The sequence below is a fragment of the Homo sapiens genome, chromosome 2 (assembly GCF_000001405.40).
Source record: "Homo sapiens chromosome 2, GRCh38.p14 Primary Assembly".
In the NCBI taxonomy this organism is placed as follows: Eukaryota; Metazoa; Chordata; class Mammalia; order Primates; family Hominidae; genus Homo; species Homo sapiens.
The window spans coordinates 56170426-56189798 of NC_000002.12; the positions used below are offsets into that span (position 1 = coordinate 56170426).

General features: G+C 45.5%; 1 protein-coding gene and 2 long non-coding RNA genes across 9 annotated transcripts in view, besides 1 other annotated feature; 2 read left to right on the forward strand and 1 right to left on the reverse strand.

The window, feature by feature from the left end:
• LOC105374690 (uncharacterized) overlaps nucleotides 1-7132 on the forward strand; it is a 231734-nt gene extending 224602 nt beyond the window's left edge. Inside the window, exon 9 of the long non-coding RNA XR_940109.3 lies at nucleotides 6800-7132. This is a non-coding gene — a long non-coding RNA (uncharacterized LOC105374690). The remainder of the gene's footprint in view (nucleotides 1-6799) is intronic.
• LOC100129434 (uncharacterized) lies at nucleotides 3109-15345 on the reverse strand. Its single transcript, NR_125368.1, has 3 exons — nucleotides 15273-15345; nucleotides 7138-7310; nucleotides 3109-5725 (listed from the first exon to the last, which is right to left on the reverse strand). It is a non-coding gene; the product is annotated as an uncharacterized LOC100129434 (long non-coding RNA).
• Nucleotides 13235-13564: a silencer, noted in NCBI's record as "silent region_11502". NCBI's record gives its function as "represses an Ori minimal core promoter by ATAC-STARR-seq in GM12878 lymphoblastoid cells {active_cell/tissue: GM12878}" and the evidence as "EXISTENCE:reporter gene assay evidence [ECO:0000049][PMID:35858748]".
• Nucleotides 13427-19373, forward strand: part of CCDC85A (coiled-coil domain containing 85A) — a 202323-nt gene continuing 196376 nt past the window's right edge. For 5 of the 7 annotated variants that reach the window (NM_001348512.1, NM_001348513.1, NM_001348514.1 and 2 more), the window contains exon 1: nucleotides 13698-14475. In NM_001348512.1, coding sequence (NP_001335441.1) covers nucleotides 14200-14475 — 276 coding nt within the window. In that variant the 5' untranslated portion in view covers nucleotides 13698-14199. Of the gene's footprint in view, nucleotides 14476-19373 lie in introns of all 7 variants that reach the window. The other 2 variants (XM_024452642.2, NM_001080433.2) reach the window with 2 other exon arrangements.

The following is a 19373-nucleotide window of genomic DNA, read 5'->3' on the forward strand; positions in this document are numbered from 1 at the left end:
AACACATATGGACCATTTTGTTCATCAATTTTCTTAAAAACCACTCAAACTGCACAAACTCAGGGCATTGTGATATCACACAGATTCCTGTAATAGAGGCTAAATGTGAGGTAACGTTTTCAGTACATGACATATGGCCCCTCACTAAGAATTATCATTGGTATTCATCCACAACGGGTGGTGAAGGAGCAGCACTGATGTTATGAGGCGCTTGAGAATTCTTTTTGCCCTAGGGAGAAGATGAAAGTCAATGAACCAGAGAAGCAATGTTTTGTTTTTGTTGTGCTTTCAGCTGCTATCCAAATTGGTTTCACAATTTCTTGCACTTTTACGTAACCTTCCCTGTGGGGCACTTAACGCAGATTAAAGTAACATAGCCACACTTCCAACTCTGGAAATACCACCACTGAGGAATGGTACATTATACTTAGGAGCATTAATAACAGGATCCTAAACCATTTTCTAAAGTTTTGTGATCTTCATATTCACACACCATCTTAGGAGGGTTGGCTGAAGTTCTAGGCAAAGAATGTTTAAGAAAAAATGGCAGAAGCAAATTTCAGTCAACTCTTCAGGTTTATCTTTACTTGACCTGTCACTGCTTACCAACTTTCCAGTTCTAATTCACAGGGCTGCAGTCTGTGAGAACAAGAAGTTTAAGGAAAACTCACTCACTCCGGTGAGCTTATACTCTCCTTGAGGAGCTGAGATGCTCAGGAATGAGAGAGTGGTTTGTTTCCCCAGTCAAATTACCCTTGCATGTGACTGAGGTTTGGATAAGTTCCTAGCAGAATTTTCCCCAAGCTAAGAAATTTCTTAAATTTTAAGGGATTTTTCTCTAGTTCCCCATGTCTCTATGGCACTGGCTTAGGTCAGTGCTTGCTAAACTCTGATGTGCTTACAAATCATCTGGAGATCTTGTCAAAAGGCAGATTCCATTCAGTAGCTCCAGCGTGGGGACAGAGACTCTGAATTTATAACATGTCTTTAGTGAAGCTGATGCTGCTCGTCCACGGAACACAGGCTGCATAGTTAGGACCCAGAGTAAAGATCGCTTCTCAGGTACTCCATTTCTTTCCTGCTCTTTTATTTGATGCTACCTCCATGTGGCTAGAGTCCCTGCTCCCTACTGCTGCCATTTCTAGCTTCATTCTCCAACTATTGATAAAATGGGTTTTAAAGTTGGTTTCCTCTCACTCAAGCCTGTGTCTAGTTCATTTAGCCAACCATAGGTGGTCTAGCTTCTGAGAGAATGAGTTCTTTTGTAAACTTCTAGAGGATGTGTGTTGCTTTTAGGTTCTAAGGAACTTAGAATGAGTCTTCTAGAAAGCTAAAGTCCTTGGATACCCTGACTATTCCCCTCAAAGATTGTGGTGGCCTTTGTCTCTCCTTCTTCCTCAGGAGTGTTTACTCACAGTGTATAGGAGGTAACAGTAGCCCTAAAATCTCATTCATGGATTCTGATGGGTAGACAAATGGCATAAATGCAAACAGGATTCAAAGGATACTCCCAGGGACCCCAAAGACCCAGAAATGAATGTGTGAATTATTGTTGCTGCCATGACTCCCACTGCAAAGAGAACAAATAAAGATTGTGTGAGGGAGGCAGGTACAGGGGTCCCACATGTTCTACTGACTGCATCAGAAGCAGCCTTCAGTTACACTTTTCCAGGGTCTCACTCCTGACCAATGGAATCAGAGTTCCCGAGGGGAATTCATACTGGGATAAAGCACAGCATGGCCAGGGGCTCACTATGTGCTGATCAGCAAATACTCAAAACCTGCAATCCATCTATTCAATAAAAGAGTTACTGAGGACCTAGTACAGGTCAGGCATAACACAAACAAAGCTCTTCCCCTCATGCCTTCCACAGCTGAAAGTAGAATATGAACAAACAAAATAGAAAATAACTGCAAATGATAAGCGGTATGAAGGAAATAGACAAGGTGATGAACTCAAGATAAAGTAGGTACTTTAGATAAGTCAGTCAGTGATAGTATATCTGGGGCAATGCCCTTAAGGCTGAGACGTGAAGATGTAGGAATTATCCAGCAGCACAGTGGTGCTTAGGCACAGAGCATTGTATGTGAACATCCCCGAGTGGGAAAGAGCATGTTTTGGGAACTTCCGTAGATGTGACCAGAGAAACCGGAATCGAGTTATGACTCCCTTCTATGAAAATTATCCTACAATTAGGACTCCTTTCCCAGGTGACAAAAACACAGTGACTCCTTTTCTTTTTTATTATTATTATTATTATTATACTTTAAGTTTTAGGGTACATGTGCACAATGTGCAGGTTAGTTACATATGTATACATGTGCCATGCTGGTGTGCTGCACCCATTAACTCGTCATCTAGCATTAGGTGTATCTCCCAGTGCTATCCCTCCCCCCTCCCCCCACCCCACAACACTCCCCAGAGTGTGATGTCCCCTTCCTGTGTCCATGTGTTCTCATTGCTCAATTCCCACCTATGAGTGAGAATATGCGGTGTTTGGTTTTTTGTTCTTGCGATAGTTTACTGAGAATGATGATTTCCAATTTCATCCATGTCCCTACAAAGGACATGAACTCATCATTTTTTATGGCTGCATAGTATTCCATGGTGTATATGTGCCACATTTTCTTAATCCAGTCTATCATTGTTGGACATTTGGGTTGGTTCCAAGTCTTTGCTATTGTGAATAATGCCACAATAAACATGCGTGTGCATGTGTCTTTATAGCAGCATGATTTATAGTCCTTTGGGTATATACCCAGTAATGGGATGGCTGGGTCAAATGGTATTTCTAGTTCTAGATCCCTGAGGAATCGCCACACTGACTTCCACAATGGTTGAACTAGTTTACAGTCCCACCAACAGTGTAAAAGTGTTCCTATTTCTCCACATCCTCTCCAGCACCTGTTGTTTCCTGACTTTTTAATGATTGCCATTCTAACTGGTGTGAGATGATATCTCATTGTGGTTTTGATTTGCATTTCTCTGATGGCCAGTGATGGTGAGCATTTTTTCATGTGTTTTTTGGCTGCATAAATGTCTTCTTTTGAAAAGTGTCTGTTCATGTCCTTCACCCACTTTTTGGTGGGGTTGTTTGTTTTTTTCTTGTAAATTTGTTTGAGTTCATTGTAGATTCTGGATATTAGCCCTTTGTCAGATGAGTAGGTTGCGAAAATTTTCTCCCATTTTGTAGGTTGCCTGTTCACTCTGATGGTAGTTTCTTTTGCTGTGCAGAGGCTCTTTAGCTTAATTAGATCCCGTTTGTCAATTTTGGCTTTTGTTGCCACTGCTTTTGGTGTTTTAGACATGAAGTCCTTGCCTATGCCTATGTCCTGAATGGTAATGCCTAGGTTTTCTTCTAGGGTTTTTATGGTTTTAGGTCTAACGTTTAAGTCTTTAATCCATCTTGAATTGATTTTTGTATAAGGTGTAAGGAAGGGATCCAGTTTCAGCTTTCTACATATGGCTAGCCAGTTTTCCCAGCACCATTTATTAAATAGGGAATCCTTTCCCCATTGCTTGTTTTTGTCAGGTTTGTCAAAGATCAGATAATTGTAGATATGCGGTGTTATTTCTGAGGGCTCTGTTCTGTTCCATTGATCTATATCTCTGTTTTGGTACCAGTACCATGCTGTTTTGGTTACTGTAGCCTTGTAGTATAGTTTGAAGTCAGGTAGTGTGATGCCTCCAGCTTTGTTCTTTTGGCTTAGGATGGACTTGGTGATATTCCAATCAATAGAAAAAGAGGGAATACTCCCTAACTCATTTTATGAGGCCAGCATCATCCTGATACCAAAGCCGGGCAGAGATACAACCAAAAAAGAGAATTTTCGACCAATATCCCTGATGAACATTGATGCAAAAATCCTCAATAAAATACTGGCAAACCGAATCCAGCAGCACATCAAAAAGCTTATCCACCATGATCAAGTGGGCTTCATCCCTGGGATGCAAGGCTGGTTCAATATACACAAATCAATAAATGTAATCCAGCATATAAACAGAACCAAAGACAAAAACCACATGATTATCTCAATAGATGCAGAAAAGGCCTTTGACAAAATTCAACAACGCTTCATGCTAAAAACTCTCAATAAATTAGGTATTGATGGGACGTATGTCAAAATAATAAGAGCTATCTATGACAAACCCACAGCCAATATCATACTGAATGGGCAAAAACTGGAAGCATTCCCTGTGAAAACTGGCACAAGACAGGGATGTCCTCTTTCACCACTCCTATTCAACATAGTGTTGGAAGTTCTGGCCAGGGCAATTAGGCAGGACAAGGAAATAAAGGGTATTCAATTAGGAAAAGAGGAAGTCAAATTGTCCCTGTTTGCAGATGACATGATTGTATATCTAGAAAACCCCATTGTCTCAGCCCAAAATCTCCTTAAGCTGATAAGCAACTTCAGCAAAGTCTCAGGATACAAAATCAATGTACAAAAATCACAAGCATTCTTATACACTAACAACAGACAAACAGAGAGCCAAATCATGAGTGAACTCCCATTCACAATTGCTTCAAAGAGAATAAAATACCTAGGAATCCAACTTACAAGGGATGTGAAGAACCTCTTCAAGGATAACTACAAACCACTGCTCAAGGAAATAAAAGAGGATACAAACAAATGGAAGAACATTCCATGCTCATGGGTAGGAAGAATCAATATCATGAAAATGGCCATACTGTCCAAGGTAATTTATAGATTCAATGCCATCCCCATCAAGCTACCAATGACTTTCTTCACAGAACTGGGAAAAAACTACCTTAAAGTTCATATGGAACCAAAAAAGTGACTCCTTTTCTGTCACTTTCAGAACCTGTTCTCATTCGTGGCTTGCTCTACTCCGAATGCCTAAAACTTGGATCTCACTGCATATGCCACTGTGGACCCCCTTTGCCACTCCTTGATGGCTGCCGTGGAGGTCAGGGTTCTGAGAGCCACCTACAGTCCTCAGAGCACTCCTTCCTTTTGTGATGAAGGTGATCATCAGGATGCCACTCAACGTTAGCTGCATCTGTCTGGCCTGAGCCTCAGATTCCTCTTCCGCAAAATGGAATAATAATATCTGTTCCATAGATGGTTCCAAAAGATGATGTGCCTCATCCATGATAGTTCTTGTCCAGTCACAATATGATCATGGCCCCTTGGAAGGTTTCATTCTGAAAGGCAATGAGTGTACCTCAACTTTTGGTTTATCATTTATAAGTTTTGATTATATGGGGGGCATTTGAAGCAAATACCTTAGGGGTGACACTGATTCTGTCAGGGCCTGAACCGTTTGAGAAATAGGCAAGAGCAGACTCCCTAATCAAACTTGCACATCCTCAAGGCAGCTGATTTCTGTGTTAGGAGAAAAGCAATCTTCTTGAGCAAATGTGTGAAGAGGAATTTTCACTTCTGAGGCTCTTCATTAAGTCTATTTCAGGAATCTTAGCAAAGGGACTGAAAAATTCCAGATCCTATGGGGGTGGGATTGCACTGGGACAAGCAGAAGCTGGCCAGGCCTGCCAGGAGTTTGCCTTGCAAGTCAGACCTGTTAGGCAGCCCCTGCTTTTTGGCATTTTCTTCCCTTCGCTATTCTTGGAGTTATGGCTTCTCAGAAACACAAGTGACCAGGCAAGCAGGCGTTACAATGGCTGTGTGGGTTGTTTGTGATCTGCAGCTCTTCCATATGGAGATCTCTTCAGGAAGCAGCCTTCCCTTTGTCCTTTCCCTGTATGCACACAAGAATATGGGCACCACAGAGACTGAGCTTCAGATCCATTTGAACAAACTTTACTGCACTCCTATGGCAAACACTTTAGTTCCCAGGTGCAGCAGAGTATTCACTCATGAATAAGACAGATCCCTGCCCTCTAAAAAGAAAATCAATAGGTATCCACCAGGTATAAAGTAAGAAAGACGGTGATAACTATACTAATACAGATAAAAACATAGTGCTTTGTTATAAATGGTGCTATATTATTATTGTGGTCACAAACTTTGTGGCTTAAAACAACAGAAATTTATTCTCTCATACGCAGCCTAAAGTCTGAAATGAGTCTTATAAGGCAACAATCAAGGAGTCAGAAGGGCTAGGTTTTCTCTGGAGTCTCCAGGGAGAGTCCATTCCTTGACTCTTCCAGTATCTAGTGGCAGCTAGATACTGCCTGACTTGCAGCCACATCTCTCCAATCTTTGCCTCTGTGGTTCTTGCCTTCTCCTTTTCTTTGTGAAATCTCCTGCTTATAAAGAAATATGCAATTGCATTTTGGTCCCACCTGGATAAGAAAACATGCAATTGAATTTTGAGCCTATCTGGATAAGCTAAGGGAATCTTACCATTTTAAGATACCTAAAGCAATCACACCTACTAAGTCCTTTTTTGCTATACATGAGAACAATCACAGGTTCTAAGGATGAGGTGGTGGTGGATACCTTTTGGATGGAGGGCATTATTCAGTCCACTACAGGTGCCACCCTCATTTTGCTGCTCACCCCCCACATAGTCTGTAGCTATGCTGTCCAATATGGCAGCCACTAGTCACATGTAGCTACTGAGCACTTGAAATGTGGCTGGTCTGAATTGAAAAGTGTTGTAAGTATAAACTACACAATCCATTTTGAAGTGTTAATAAAAAAGTATAAATTTCTCAATAATGTTTATGTTGATTACATGTTGAAATAACATTTTAGATATATTAGGTTAAAGAAAATATATTATTAAAATTATCACTTTTTTAACTTTTTAAATGCAACTACTAGACAATCTAAAATTACATGTGTGGCTTGTATTATATTTCTACAGGGTGGTGTTCTATACTATCAACAACAGTAATTCTCAAATTGCTGCATATCAGAATCATGTGGACAGTTTTGAAATACCTAGTGTCCAGACTGCACCCCAGACAAACTAAATCTAGTGAGGGGCCATCTGAAACTCCCCAGGTAATTCCAGTATGCAGCCAAGATTGACAATCCATGCAGTAGAGACCTGGAGGAAAGTTAATAATACAGATAGCATTACTGGTCCAGGGATTATTACACAGAGATATGCCAATTTTCTTTACAAACAACAGGAGATACAGGCTCCTAAAGTACCCTCTGCTTTATGCTTTTCTCTCTGGAATGCATGCTTCAACTTACCCATAGAGTGTAGCTGTGAGTCTAGGGTTCGGGAGGGGGCAGAACAGCTGTTTCCATGAGCCAAAAGACACCTGGCATCTTAACAATCTGAGAGGCAGGCTGGCTGGACCTCTCTTCTTTGCGTACTCCTGGTGGTTAGATAAACCCTTCCCTGGCCATTTCTGCCATAGTACCTGGGGGAACAAAATAGGATAAAAGGCAGCAAGCTCCTAAATGTTCAGTTTGTAGGGCTAGATAAGGCAAAGCACTTTGGGAGTAGCTCACAGTGGAAGTATCTCTGGGGCCATCCATCAATAACATTACCACCAGAGGTTTCTGTTATTTTAGGGGAATTCCCAGCTACTTACTAGTTCCACACAATGACGGTGTTCTCTGCATCTCAACTCAGAATTAGGTAACAAAGCTAAAATTGAATGTACTTCTGTAGAGTTTTGAGGTATTGCCTGGGAAATTGGTTCTTGATGGAGCAAGACAGGGCGTTTTAGTGGCTGCCTGTGTTATTTGTTGCAACACAGAAAAATGAGATAAACCTCAGCCTTGTTTGTATATATGATATTTATGTCTGGCATCAACATAAAATAAGCTCATTGCCTGAAGTGCATTTTTTGCAGAGATTTGAGGCTAACTTGTTAAAGCATCATATTATCCAACACTTAAACAATTTTGAAATATTAAAAAAATTTCCGAACTACGTATCACTCTTCTGACTTCCAAATATACTAAACAGTAATGATATTTTCAAAAGGAAGAGATCTTGTGTATGTGTTTGGGTGGTGACCCAACCCAAACAAGAAAGATATTTTAAAAAATCAGAATGAAGGCCCTTGGAAAACTTGTTCTCTCCTCCCTTCCCCCTTCTTTCTTTCCTCCTTCCCTCCTGTATTTATTGAATACTAACTCTGTGTTAGGAAATAGACCTTGTCTTCGGGAGCTTAGGAGCTAAAAGAGGAAAAAGACATTGTCTTAGTCCATTTATTCTGCTATAAGAAAATACCTTAGACTAGGTACTTTATAAATATTAGAAATGTATGTCTCATATTTCTGGGGGCTGGGAAGTCCAAGATCAAGAGTCCAGTAGATTCAGTGTCTGGTGAAGGCTCACTCTCTGCTTCACAGACGGCCCCTCTTACTGTGTCCTCACATGGTGGAAAGGCAAAAGGGGCAAAAAGGGACAAATGCTGTTTCCCCATCCGGTAGAAGAGAAGGGTGGGCAAAAAGGGACAAACTTGCTCTCTCAAGTCCTTTTATAAGGGCACTAATCCCATCCATGAGGGCAGAGCCCTCACAGCCTAATCACCTTCCCAAGGCCCCCTCTTAATGCCATTACCTTAAGGTTTAAGTTTCAACATATGAATATCGGAGGGACACATGTTCAAGCCAAAGCAGATACCAAAGTAAATGAGAGACAGAAAACATTATAGGGTCTATAATTGAAGATGAGACCCTTCTCCCCCTCCCTCCCTCCCTTCCTCTCTTTTCTGCCTTACTAAAAATGCCAGCAGTAACTTGCAAAGATACATACACATAAGGTTAAAAAGAAGAAACTGTGAGGGAGAAATTTGAAAGTGAGAAAATGATGGAAGTCAGGTTAGTCAACAGATTACATTCCTTAAGTTTTCTCTAAATTATTGAAGGTGGGCCACAAATTTAGATCTAACTTCCTAGAAGCCAGCACAAAGAGGAATACATAACCAATTGCAAAATTCAGTGTCCATAGGATGAAAATTATGTAGTTCCCCCAAAGAACCACAGGGATTAGGTGCAGTTTTTATAAGGTATTATGGGATGTCGTGAGCAATGTCCTCAGTAACATCCCTAATGGCACCAAGGAGTTTTGTAGAGCATGACAAAAATTTGTATGGTTTGGAGAAAGCAGAAAAGAGATAATATTAAATCCTGGCCGGAGCTAAACCCTTTTGTTGGGATTGGACTGGATTAGTTTGAGCCTCTGCTTATATTTTCCTGTAATTCAGCATTCTATTTTAGGTACTGCACTAGGGGTATGCACTGGAGGTTATGGGAGTGGAGAGGGACACTCACCTTTGCCTCTGCCAGGGAAATGTGGGCTGATGCCAGCACTCTGGATAAGATGATGCCTTTTGAAGGATCTGGTTGGAAGTTATTCAGAAGGATAAGGCAAGGAAGGCATTTCATGCATGAGAAAAGAGCATCAGTGTGGTACGGAGGTATATTGAATGCTGACAGGGAGCTACAAGGCAGTTTAGAACTGAAAAAGTATGAAATATGAGGCAGGCAAAGTATGGTAGGAGTTGGAGCTGAAAAAGTAAGCAAGCATCAGACTGTGTCCATCTTACATGCTCTGCTAAGAAATGTAGCTTCACTCCACAGAAAGGTGCTGAGATGCCCCCAAAGGGATTTAGGCAGGGGAGTTGTATCTGCTAACTATTGCATTAGTAATGCTGCACAATAAATCTCCCCAAAAGTCGGTAGCTTAAACAACAGTCTTGTTTTCTCACACACAGATCTGTGAGTCTGTGAGCATAGCTCTGCTTCATGCTGCAGATCTTCAGGTTGGCTGGGGTGGCTGAGTGTGTGGCTCAGACTGAAGGAACAGCAGCTACCCAAGGTTAGCTCTTCTCCTGGTGAAGCGTGGAAAGAACAGACGGGTGAGTGGGCAGACAGACGCCTTTTGAGACCTCTTCAGAGAAGGGGTACACTGTCAGGTGCACACACATGCGTTAGTACAGCAAGTCATATGCTTGCAATATGATTTTCAATACCAGTAGGGAGGGGAGAAAAACTGCCCCCTGTAGGGGAGGTGCTACAACATCACATGGTGGAAGGTGATGTTAATTTTTTTTTTTTTTTTTTTTTGAGACAGAGTCTCGCTATGCCGTCAGGCTGGAGTGCAGTGGTGCTATCTTGGCTCACTGCAAGCTCCGCCTCCTGGGTTCACGCCATTCTCCCACCTCAGCCTCCCGAGTAGCTGGGACTACAGGTACCCGACACCACGCCCGGCTAATATTTTGTATTTTTAGTAGAGACGGGGTTTCACCGTGTTATCCAGGGTGGTCTAGATCTCCTGATCTCGTGATCCACCCGCCTTGGCCTCCCAAAGAGCTGGGATTACAGGCGTGAGCCACCACACCTGGCCGATGTTAATTAATTTTGTAGGGAGGTTGTGAAAAATTATCAGCAATAATTCAATCTGTCTCAGGGGTAAAGTAGCTAGACTTGACTTTTTGAGATGATTCACTTGGGAAGTTGTGTGGAAAGCAGATTCGAGAGAGGTGATGCAGTAGTCAGAGGGACCAGTGAGAAGGGCCAGGTGAGACTTAGTGAGAACCTAGGCTGAGTAACAGTGAGCTGGGGGGAAATAGAGTTGACTGAAGAAAATTATATGATATAAAACCATCAGGACTAAAGACGTAGGGTCATTTATGGCTGGTTTTCAGAAATCTCCATTTAATATACCCAACTTAAAACACTGTCCTAGCTTCCCTTGCAGCTGGGAGGTGATTATATGGTAAGCTCTGCCTATTAGAACATAAACAAAATTCACTGGGTCAATTACCAGGATTTTTTTTTTTTTTTTTGAGACAGGGTCTCACTCTTTCGACCAGAGTGGAGTGCAGTGGCACGATCCTGGCTCACCACAACCTCCGCGTCCCAGGCTCAAGCGATTCTCCTGCCTCAGCCTCCCGATAGCTGGGATTATAGGCACGCACCACCATGCCCAGCTAATTTTTGTATTTTTAGTAAAGATGGGGTTTCACCATATTGGCCAGGCTGGTCTTGAATTCCTGACCTCAAATGATCCACCTGCATCGGACGCCCAAAGTGCTGGGATTACAGTTATGAGCCACCGCCCCCGGCCACCAGGAAAAGTTTTTAAAGGGGCATGTGCCCCTTTGCAGTTGTTATTACCTTCTTCCTGCCTTACACGTAGCTGGATGGCTAGAGTTCCACCAACCATGTTATGGACACGAGGCAATCATCCCAAAGGGGACTGAGCTGAGAGAAGGAGCCTAAGATTTTGACGACCTCATGAAGATACCATACCAGCCCTCAGCTGCCTCTCTTTAGAATACCAGGTAGGTGAGAAAAAATAAATGACTTTTTTAAAGTGACTGTTTTTTGAGTTTCTGTTTTTAGCAGTCAAATGAAGCTCCTGACACCATACATGACCTTAGCAACATGAAGCAACATTATTCATTCATGCAGATAATTATTATTCTGAATCAATGACCAAAATTAGAAACATGAAAACCTTAAGGTGATCTAGCTCAACTGTAATCCACTGCTAGTGTATATAATTTGTGGAGACTTTTTTTTTTTTTTTGGCTTTCCTTCTTCCTTGTCTTCCCAACACAAGTCTAATTTTTCCTCTCAGCCATCTCTCTGATTTCTCATATCTATTTGGTGTTAACTGATCAGAGGGAGTTAGCAGAGAAGGGGGCTGGCTGTTTCATTTTAGAATACGACTCTTGAAGAACCCGTGATGGAGGAATAAACAGAAGTCCTGGTTCCTATTTCTAGACAAGAGGCTGCCCAATGTAATATGTAATATCAGTAATAGTAAGGTTGCATTTCTGTAGGGTGGCTCGATCAAGCGCTTCTTGTATACCATATCATTAGCTGCCCGAGGGCCAGTAAGGTCGGATGGTTTGTTCAAGGACAAGAACTAACAAGTAACAGAGATAGGACTTATCTTTTTCTGACCTTCACTTTCCCTTTCTGTGACAAAACTGGTCTTAGGAACTGTGTTGAGCAGAGCCTTCTGTGGGCGTGAGAGCGGCTTGGAGGTGTCAAAGAAAAATTGCATCCGATATAGTTAAACAGACAAGGGGGAATTATTCAAGGCTATTGCAATAGGGAAGAGAGAGAGGGAGGGAGAGGGGAACTAGTAGAAGACTAGTGGAGGAGATTAGGATGGGAAGTTGGTCAGTGTAATGAGGCCATTTGTGTTTCCTAATTGGAACTTATTAAAGTTAGGCTCCTCCTCTCCACAAACACTAGGAGATAGGGACCCTTTTTTCCTTGATGATTACATTTCAAAGGGATGCCTCACAGATCCCTGAGAAAGATCCCCAGGCTGTAAAACCCAGCAAGAGGCGGAGAGATTTACATGTCAAAGGGTCAGAGGAAACATTCACCAATGGAAGTTGGCTAAAGTAAATGCTCTGAGAAAAGGAAGGTCTGGGGCCTACAGTTAGGAAGAAACCTGTCTAAAGTTTAGTTAAGCTGAGGGGAATGTTAAGGCCATTTGGTCACCGTAAGCAGTACCACATTTCCTTGCCTCTCCCGGGAGCCAGGTCTCAGTGTCCCCAATAGGGGACACGCACTGACCGGCGGGTGAAGGGACTGATTTTGATTATCATCCTACCAGATAGAGATTATTCCCTCTGCACCCGGGTTAACTGAAACCCGGTGGGGGTAGATCCTTGCCATTTTCCGGCCCTGTACCCCACTGGAAATAACATGCGGTGGTCAAGGGCATCCACCTCTTTAGGCAAAAGCATGTTTTCAGCCCAGAGACGATTCCACCCAACTTTACAAGAGGATAGCCCAAAGATAGAAGCCAGGGACTCAGACTTCCTCCTTCCAGAAATAACCATCATAAAAAAGCCGACCCAGTAAACGCCTGGCAGCCTGCGGCATAGAAGAAAATGGAAATCTCCTTGGCTGGCATTTCAGCTTGCCTGAGGGGGCTTGCTTTGCTCCGAGGGGAGGTGACTGTGCTGACCTTAAAATCCAGGTTTCAGGAAGCAGGAGATGAAGGTATTTTATTTTCGCCTAAAGGCTTTGATATTTTTCAAATAAAAATTTAAAAGATCCAGTACCTTCTCCCGAAGCTTCTTCATAGAGTAGTGGATTTTTAGAAAACACAAAGGCCTAGGGGTGGGGCGAGAGTGGGGGGTGGGGATGGGTAGCCCCATAAGAGCAGTGCCCTGACGCCTCTTTTCGCCCTTTTCAGACCATTTGGATTTTCTTAAGCTGCCCCTTTCCCCAACCCCCGTTTTTGCCATTTGCCTCTCCTCCCATTCTCCAAAGTGCAAATAACTGGTTATCCCTCAGGTCCTGCTACCCCATCTTTCCTGATCCCCGATCCCTCCAAATACGAAGCACCTCGCATTTGGGTCAGCAGCTGTTTCCCCTGCCTGGTGACAAGGCCGGTGTGCAGAGGGCAGAGGAGGGAGCTTCTTCCGCCACACGGTGGCGCGCGCGAGCCTCCCAAAGACCGGGCGGCCACAGCTCCTCACCTTCTCCCCATTCCAGCCCCACCCGCCCGGGCGCAGAAAGAGCCGCGCCCCCAGCCCTCCCGGGCAGGACAGCCGGGAGCGCACCTCGAGGGCCCGGGCAGCGGTCGAGTGGCAGCTGCGTCCAGCCCATGCGGGAGCTGCTGCGGGTTACGGGTGGCCCCAGCTCCAGGCTCCTCCTCCAGCCGGTCCCCCACCCTCCACCCCTTCTCGACTCCGCTCTGCAAATCGAAGGCTTTCCGGAGCAGCCTAGGAGCGGCCGCGGGCGCAGCGAAGGCGGCAGGAGGAGCGCAGCAGCCTTCGGGCAGCCGCGGCGGCGTCGCTAGAGCAGCCGGGGAGGCGCCGCGGTGCCCGGCGCGCCCTCCAAGCTAGGAGAGGGGAGAAGCCGGGGGCTGCAGCTGGGCAAGGGGGAGGAAAGTGCGTGTGCGTGCACGCCTGTGTGCAGGGCAGAGAGTGCGGGGGGCGACAGTCTCGGCTTAGGGCGGAGGAGAGGGCAGGGGAACGGCGGTGCAGCTCCCCCGCTGTCCCCGAGGATTTCCCGCGGCAGCCCCGGGCTCCCCAGTGCCCCTCACCATGGACTTGCGCGGAGTTGGGACGGGCCTCGGCAGCAGCAAGCGGCTGGCTGCCGGGCCCTGGGGGAGCGCGGGCGCGCGCGCGGGGATGGCGAGGTAGGATGGCCACCCAGCGCGACCCCCGCCGCCCCAACCCAGCGGCCCCTGGGCGGTGCCGCTGACTCGCCGGAGCGCACAGGGGTGTGGGCGGAGGCGGCCTCGCCGCGCCCGCGCCTTCGGGAGTCGCCTCGCCTCTTCCACCCACTTGCACCTGCCACCCCGCGGATACCATGTCGAAGGCGGCCGGAGGCGCGGCGGCGGCTGCGGCGGCGGCGGAAAGTTGTTCCCCAGCCCCGGCCGGCTCGTCCGCGGCCCCGCCCGCGCCGGTGGAGGACCTGTCCAAAGTGTCGGACGAGGAGCTGCTGCAGTGGAGCAAGGAGGAGCTGATCCGCAGCCTGCGGCGCGCCGAGGCGGAGAAGGTGAGCGCGATGCTGGACCACAGCAACCTCATCCGCGAGGTGAACCGCCGCCTGCAGCTGCACCTCGGCGAGATCCGCGGCCTCAAGGTGAGCGCGGGCCAGGTGGGGAGGCGCGGCGCGGCTGGGAGCGGGGTGCCCCGAGGAGGAGGCGGGGCCAGGCAAACTTTCCCTCCCTCCCTCAACAGGTGACCCTCCCCTTCTCCCGGTCGGCACCCCCTACCCCCAGTCCCCAGCCCCTGTGTAACTTTTCCAAACTTCGGAGGCGTCTGCTCCCCTCCTCTCCCCAACACGGGGCGCTCCACTGTCTGGCTGTTCGGGGAGGCGCTGAGGACGCTGGAAAGCAGGGAGGGAGGTGAAGGGCACGCGAACCTTTCATTTCTTAGGGAGGCTGGAAAATCTGTGCCTGGGGAGCCGGGTTTCAGTCAGTTAGGCGGAAAGGCCAGTGAGGGGGTGAATCCAGGGGATCTTCGCCTTGGAGGGTCGGGAATGCGGCTGCTCTGGGCCAGCAGCTCTTGGGCGGGCAGAGGGCGAGGAAAGGGCGCCACTGCCAGGGAGAGCGGCTGGCGGGGCGCCCGGGAGAAGCAGCGGGCGCCACCCTCAGAGCAGTCTTGTGTCACCGGGTACATAGGAGTTCAAGCTCTGCCTTCACGTCTTCTCCCAATTCCTGTGCTTTCCCTCTCCCGGAGTTTGGAAGGCATCCCCTGGAGTTGCCTTACTCCCCTTCCCACTTAACCCCAGGTTGACTGGGGGAAAGAGGAGGAGCAAAGAGACTCAGTATGGAAGGAGCAGCATTTTGACAGAGTACCCCAAGTGTTGGTCAGTGATGGTTTCTTTCTGAGCCAGCCCCCCTGCCACCCTCTTCTAGGAAAAGAAGGGAAACGTACCCCAAGCCCACTAACTTTCTTTTCTCCTTGGAGAGCGCCGGGTCTGCGAGGAGTGTGCCTGCCCAGCTGCAGTACACTAGTGGCCGGGAACCGCCCTGCTGGCGAGCACCACAAACTTCCTCTCCTTCCAGCTAGCGCTGGTGCCTCCTGGTATTCCTTCCTCTCATTGTTCTGCTTTGTTTGTAGGAAGCCAGACACAAACGAAATCACTGCAGGGACTTCAGGGAGCAAATTCCCGAAGGCACAAGCTGTTCTTTTCCCCTTTCCACTCCTATCCCCACATATCAGACAGTAGATGCTGTTCCGGAATTGCCTCAGTGCTCCAGCTCTGGGATTCTGGGGCAAGAAAGAGTGGGAAGAGTGGAATGCTCAAGGCTCACCTATGTGCTGGGCCCAGTTCAGGTGGAGATGGCCGTCTCCCGAGGCCGAAAGTCATTGTCATATAGTCCCTAGAGTGGGTGCAGGTAGGAAGATTCCTCCAGTCAGAAAAATGCCAAGGCTTACTCTCTCCTGTGGTTGAATTCATTACTAACAGAGTGTTTATTAAGTGCCAGTCTCTTTGGGGAATAGAGGCAGGCTAGTGTAGTAGGAAGATGATCTCAGAGGTGGGTTTGAATTCTAGAAACCTCATTTGCCAGGAGGGTGAGCTTGGGTAATTACTTTCTCAGATCCTCCTTTTATTCACCAATACAATGCAATGATAATAACTTTCTGAGGGTGTTATGGCAATAAGTTATGATTATGTAGGGGAAGGTTTAATACTTGACTATAAAATGGTAGTTACTGTCATCAGGAAAGGACTTACAAATCTATGGCTGTGTGTCCCCAAGATTTTGGTTTCTTAGGCAGAGCTGGACAAGGGGGCATTAGTTTGTCATCCTCTAATTTGAGTTTCTTCCATGGTCTGAACAATAGTGTGATTTAGAAGAGTTGGAAGAGTTATTATTAAATGTTTTAATAGTATGGAGCATCAAAATAATAGCTCAGAAACACTTGAAAGTTCCTTTAGGTTATGTGGATTGACTGTGTGTGATGTCTGTGTGTGGGTAGGGGAGGGGAATGGTAGAGTGGGTTGGTAGAGTGCCTGGGCTTCATTCCAGTAGCTTCATGTAGAGAAGTAGCTATTAGGTCAGCTAAAGGCCCGTACACCCAAGTAAGAAAGTCTCCTTGTGATCTAGATTCATGACCTGGCATTAAAAGACTTGCCAGTCTACTTCCTTATCAAGTTCAGAAATGATGGGGGCAGGTTGCTTTCTGATGCAGCTTCTACTCTTCTCATGTCATCCCTGGGCTGCTGCAAGGAGCGGACTCCCAGGCTTCTGGCCCACCCTGGGTGTGCTGTGGTTTTACTCTTTGGAGAGGCCAGCCTTCTCCCTTCTCTTTTTTATTTTGGCTCAGAGCTTCCTTGGACACCATAGTAATCCATAAATGTGGTTGATTGAATAAATGATGGGTACATATATTTATTTTGGCTTAACTGGAAGAAAAGAAGTATTTTTTTTTGTTAAGGGCGTGGGGGAGCGTCTGAGGGCTTGGCATTCTCAGTTGAGAACTATAAATGTAGGGGAATTAAGACCATAATACATTTTCTTTTTTATGCCTCTTTCTATGAGCTGACTTTGAAATTGCATCTAAATATTTGTAAGGCTACCAGGTGTTATTGTAGCTGTGGACACAGGAGATGGCAGCATCAGTTCTTTACTTTTCAGGGGCCTGTGGCCGGGTCCTAGCACTGATTGACTTGTTTGTGTTTAGATATTTGGGAGGCAGGGCAGTGCAGGGGCCCTGAGAAGTGGAAAGATAAAGAATTTGGATTCTGATAATTTGGGCAGCTTTGGCCAATTGTTAAACTCTCTGTCTCTCGGTTTTCTCATCTGCTCATGGGGATTTTAATTCCACATGAGGTTTTATGAGGATGAAATATACCATAGATGAAGAAACCCCAGTGAAGTTAGATAGTTTTCTCAAGGTCACACAGACATAAAGTGTTCAAAATCGGCCTGCTTTCCTTTTCTTTTGGCTAGTTGACATTCTTTGCTTAGAATGTGTGGTCCTGGAAGGGGTGGATGAGGGAGATTCTAGTTAGGGTTATGTTGTAAGGAACTGGATTCCTGAGAACCATGTCTTTGGACTGCTGAGCATATACCAACACTTCAGGCTGCTCTGACCCAGTATCCCAGTTGGGGGCTGATTCGGGATGAATCTCTGTAGATTTGTTTTCTTCATTGCATTAATTTCCCTCCTTGGTTCCTAACCCAACCACCGACCCGCCCACCACCCTGCTCTGCAGTGAAGCAAAATAACAAATTAAAACAATTATTTAACTGTAGATACAGTACTTGATAGTCTTCAGGCATAAGATTGAAATTTTGGTTGGTGTGCTACGAAGTGGACTTAACCTTTTAAAAGTCCACTTAGACACTTGGATAATTTCTGGTGGCCGGTGGCAATGTTAAAAGGACACCTAGTGTTTTGCAAAAGAAAGCCCAAGTCTTAGTGAGGCAGATTTGAAGAAGCTGGATCACAAGGTTATTATCAAGCTGGCTGCTTAGCTGTTCATCAGAAGGCAAAGGAAATAGCTCAGAACTGAATAGTAAATAATATTCTCAAGAAAACTAATAATAGAAAGAGGGAACTGTGATATAGAAATGGGAGTGGGCCAATACTCACTCCTATCTACTCCATCTGGAGTGCTGAGAAGTGTATGTTTCACTCCTTTTGGAAAAGGCATTAGCTCCGTGAAGCCGAGGGTAGCACCAGTCCTGTTTACTTTCCAGCTCTAGAGAAATCAGAAGTAGCTGTAGCATAGTCAAAGGGAAGTATTTTCCTATGAAAATTTGTTTAGATGAAAGAGAACATGACTTGAGCTTTCTATCAAATGCCAGGATTAAACTAAATGTTGAATAATTTTTGGAGCTTAGAAAGATTAATTTTCTTTGTTATTGTTTTCTCCAAATATCCACAGCTTCTGATTTCCTGTAAAGCATCAGTATCAAGGGATAGTTTATTTTCTTACTACTGTAGGCTCTGACATAGCTAGTGCTTGCTGAAAACAATAAGAAATTCTTCTCAGTAGCTATAGCTGTAGCCTGTTTTGGCCAGAGGCCTGGAGCTTTATATGGTTGATCAGTCCATAAACACATATTGAGTGTCCACTGTATGCAAGGCACCATGCCAGATATGTTGCATATTCAAAGAAAGACTTTTGGAATAGACCCTGCTCTCCAGAAGCTAAGATGTCCACATTAGAAAGGAGAAAAAATTGATGTCTAGTGATTGTTCTAGCTAGAGTGTGATACAGGCCTTAAACAGTGAGTGGGAAAGTTACTTCATTCATTCATTCATGGGTACTTTTCTGTGCCGGGGGAAACTTCTCAGAGGAATCTCTCCTCTTAGGTTCATATGGGGTAGAAGATGATATTTTCTAGTTGGAATGCACAGACGTAATCATAGCTCATAATTAGCTGGCAACTAAAGGTGGAAAGGCAAGGGACAGCCTTTCAGGCCTGGCTGAGGGTCTTATTCATTTTCCCTGGCAAAGGAAAGGTGATGGGGATTGATAAACAGGAGAGGCAAAACATGCACGGGGTATTTTTGGTGTTTTTTTTTTTTTTTGAGACAAGGTCTCACTCTGTTGCCCAGGCTGTAGTGTATCGTGATCTTGGCTCACTGCAGCCTCCTCCTCCCTGGTTCAAGCAATTCTCCTGCCTCAGGTTCCTGGGTACCTGGGATTACAGGCACGTGTCACCATGCTTGGCTAATTTTTGTATTTTTAGTAGAGACAGGTTTCACCACGTTGGCCAGACTGGTCTTGAACTCCTGACCTCAAGTGATCTGCCCACCTCGGCCTCCCAAAGTGTTGGGATTACAGATATGAGCCATTGAACCCAGGTGTTGTTGTTTTTTGTTTATTTTAAATTTCAACTTTTATTTTAGATTCGGAGAGTACACTGTGTGATGCTGAGGTTTTGGGTATGATTAATCCCATCTTCCAGGTACTGAGCATAGTATCCGATAGTTTTTTAACCCTTACCTCCCTTCCTACCCCACTAAGAGCCCCCAGTTTCTGTTGTTGCCATCTTTATGTCATGAATAGCAGGG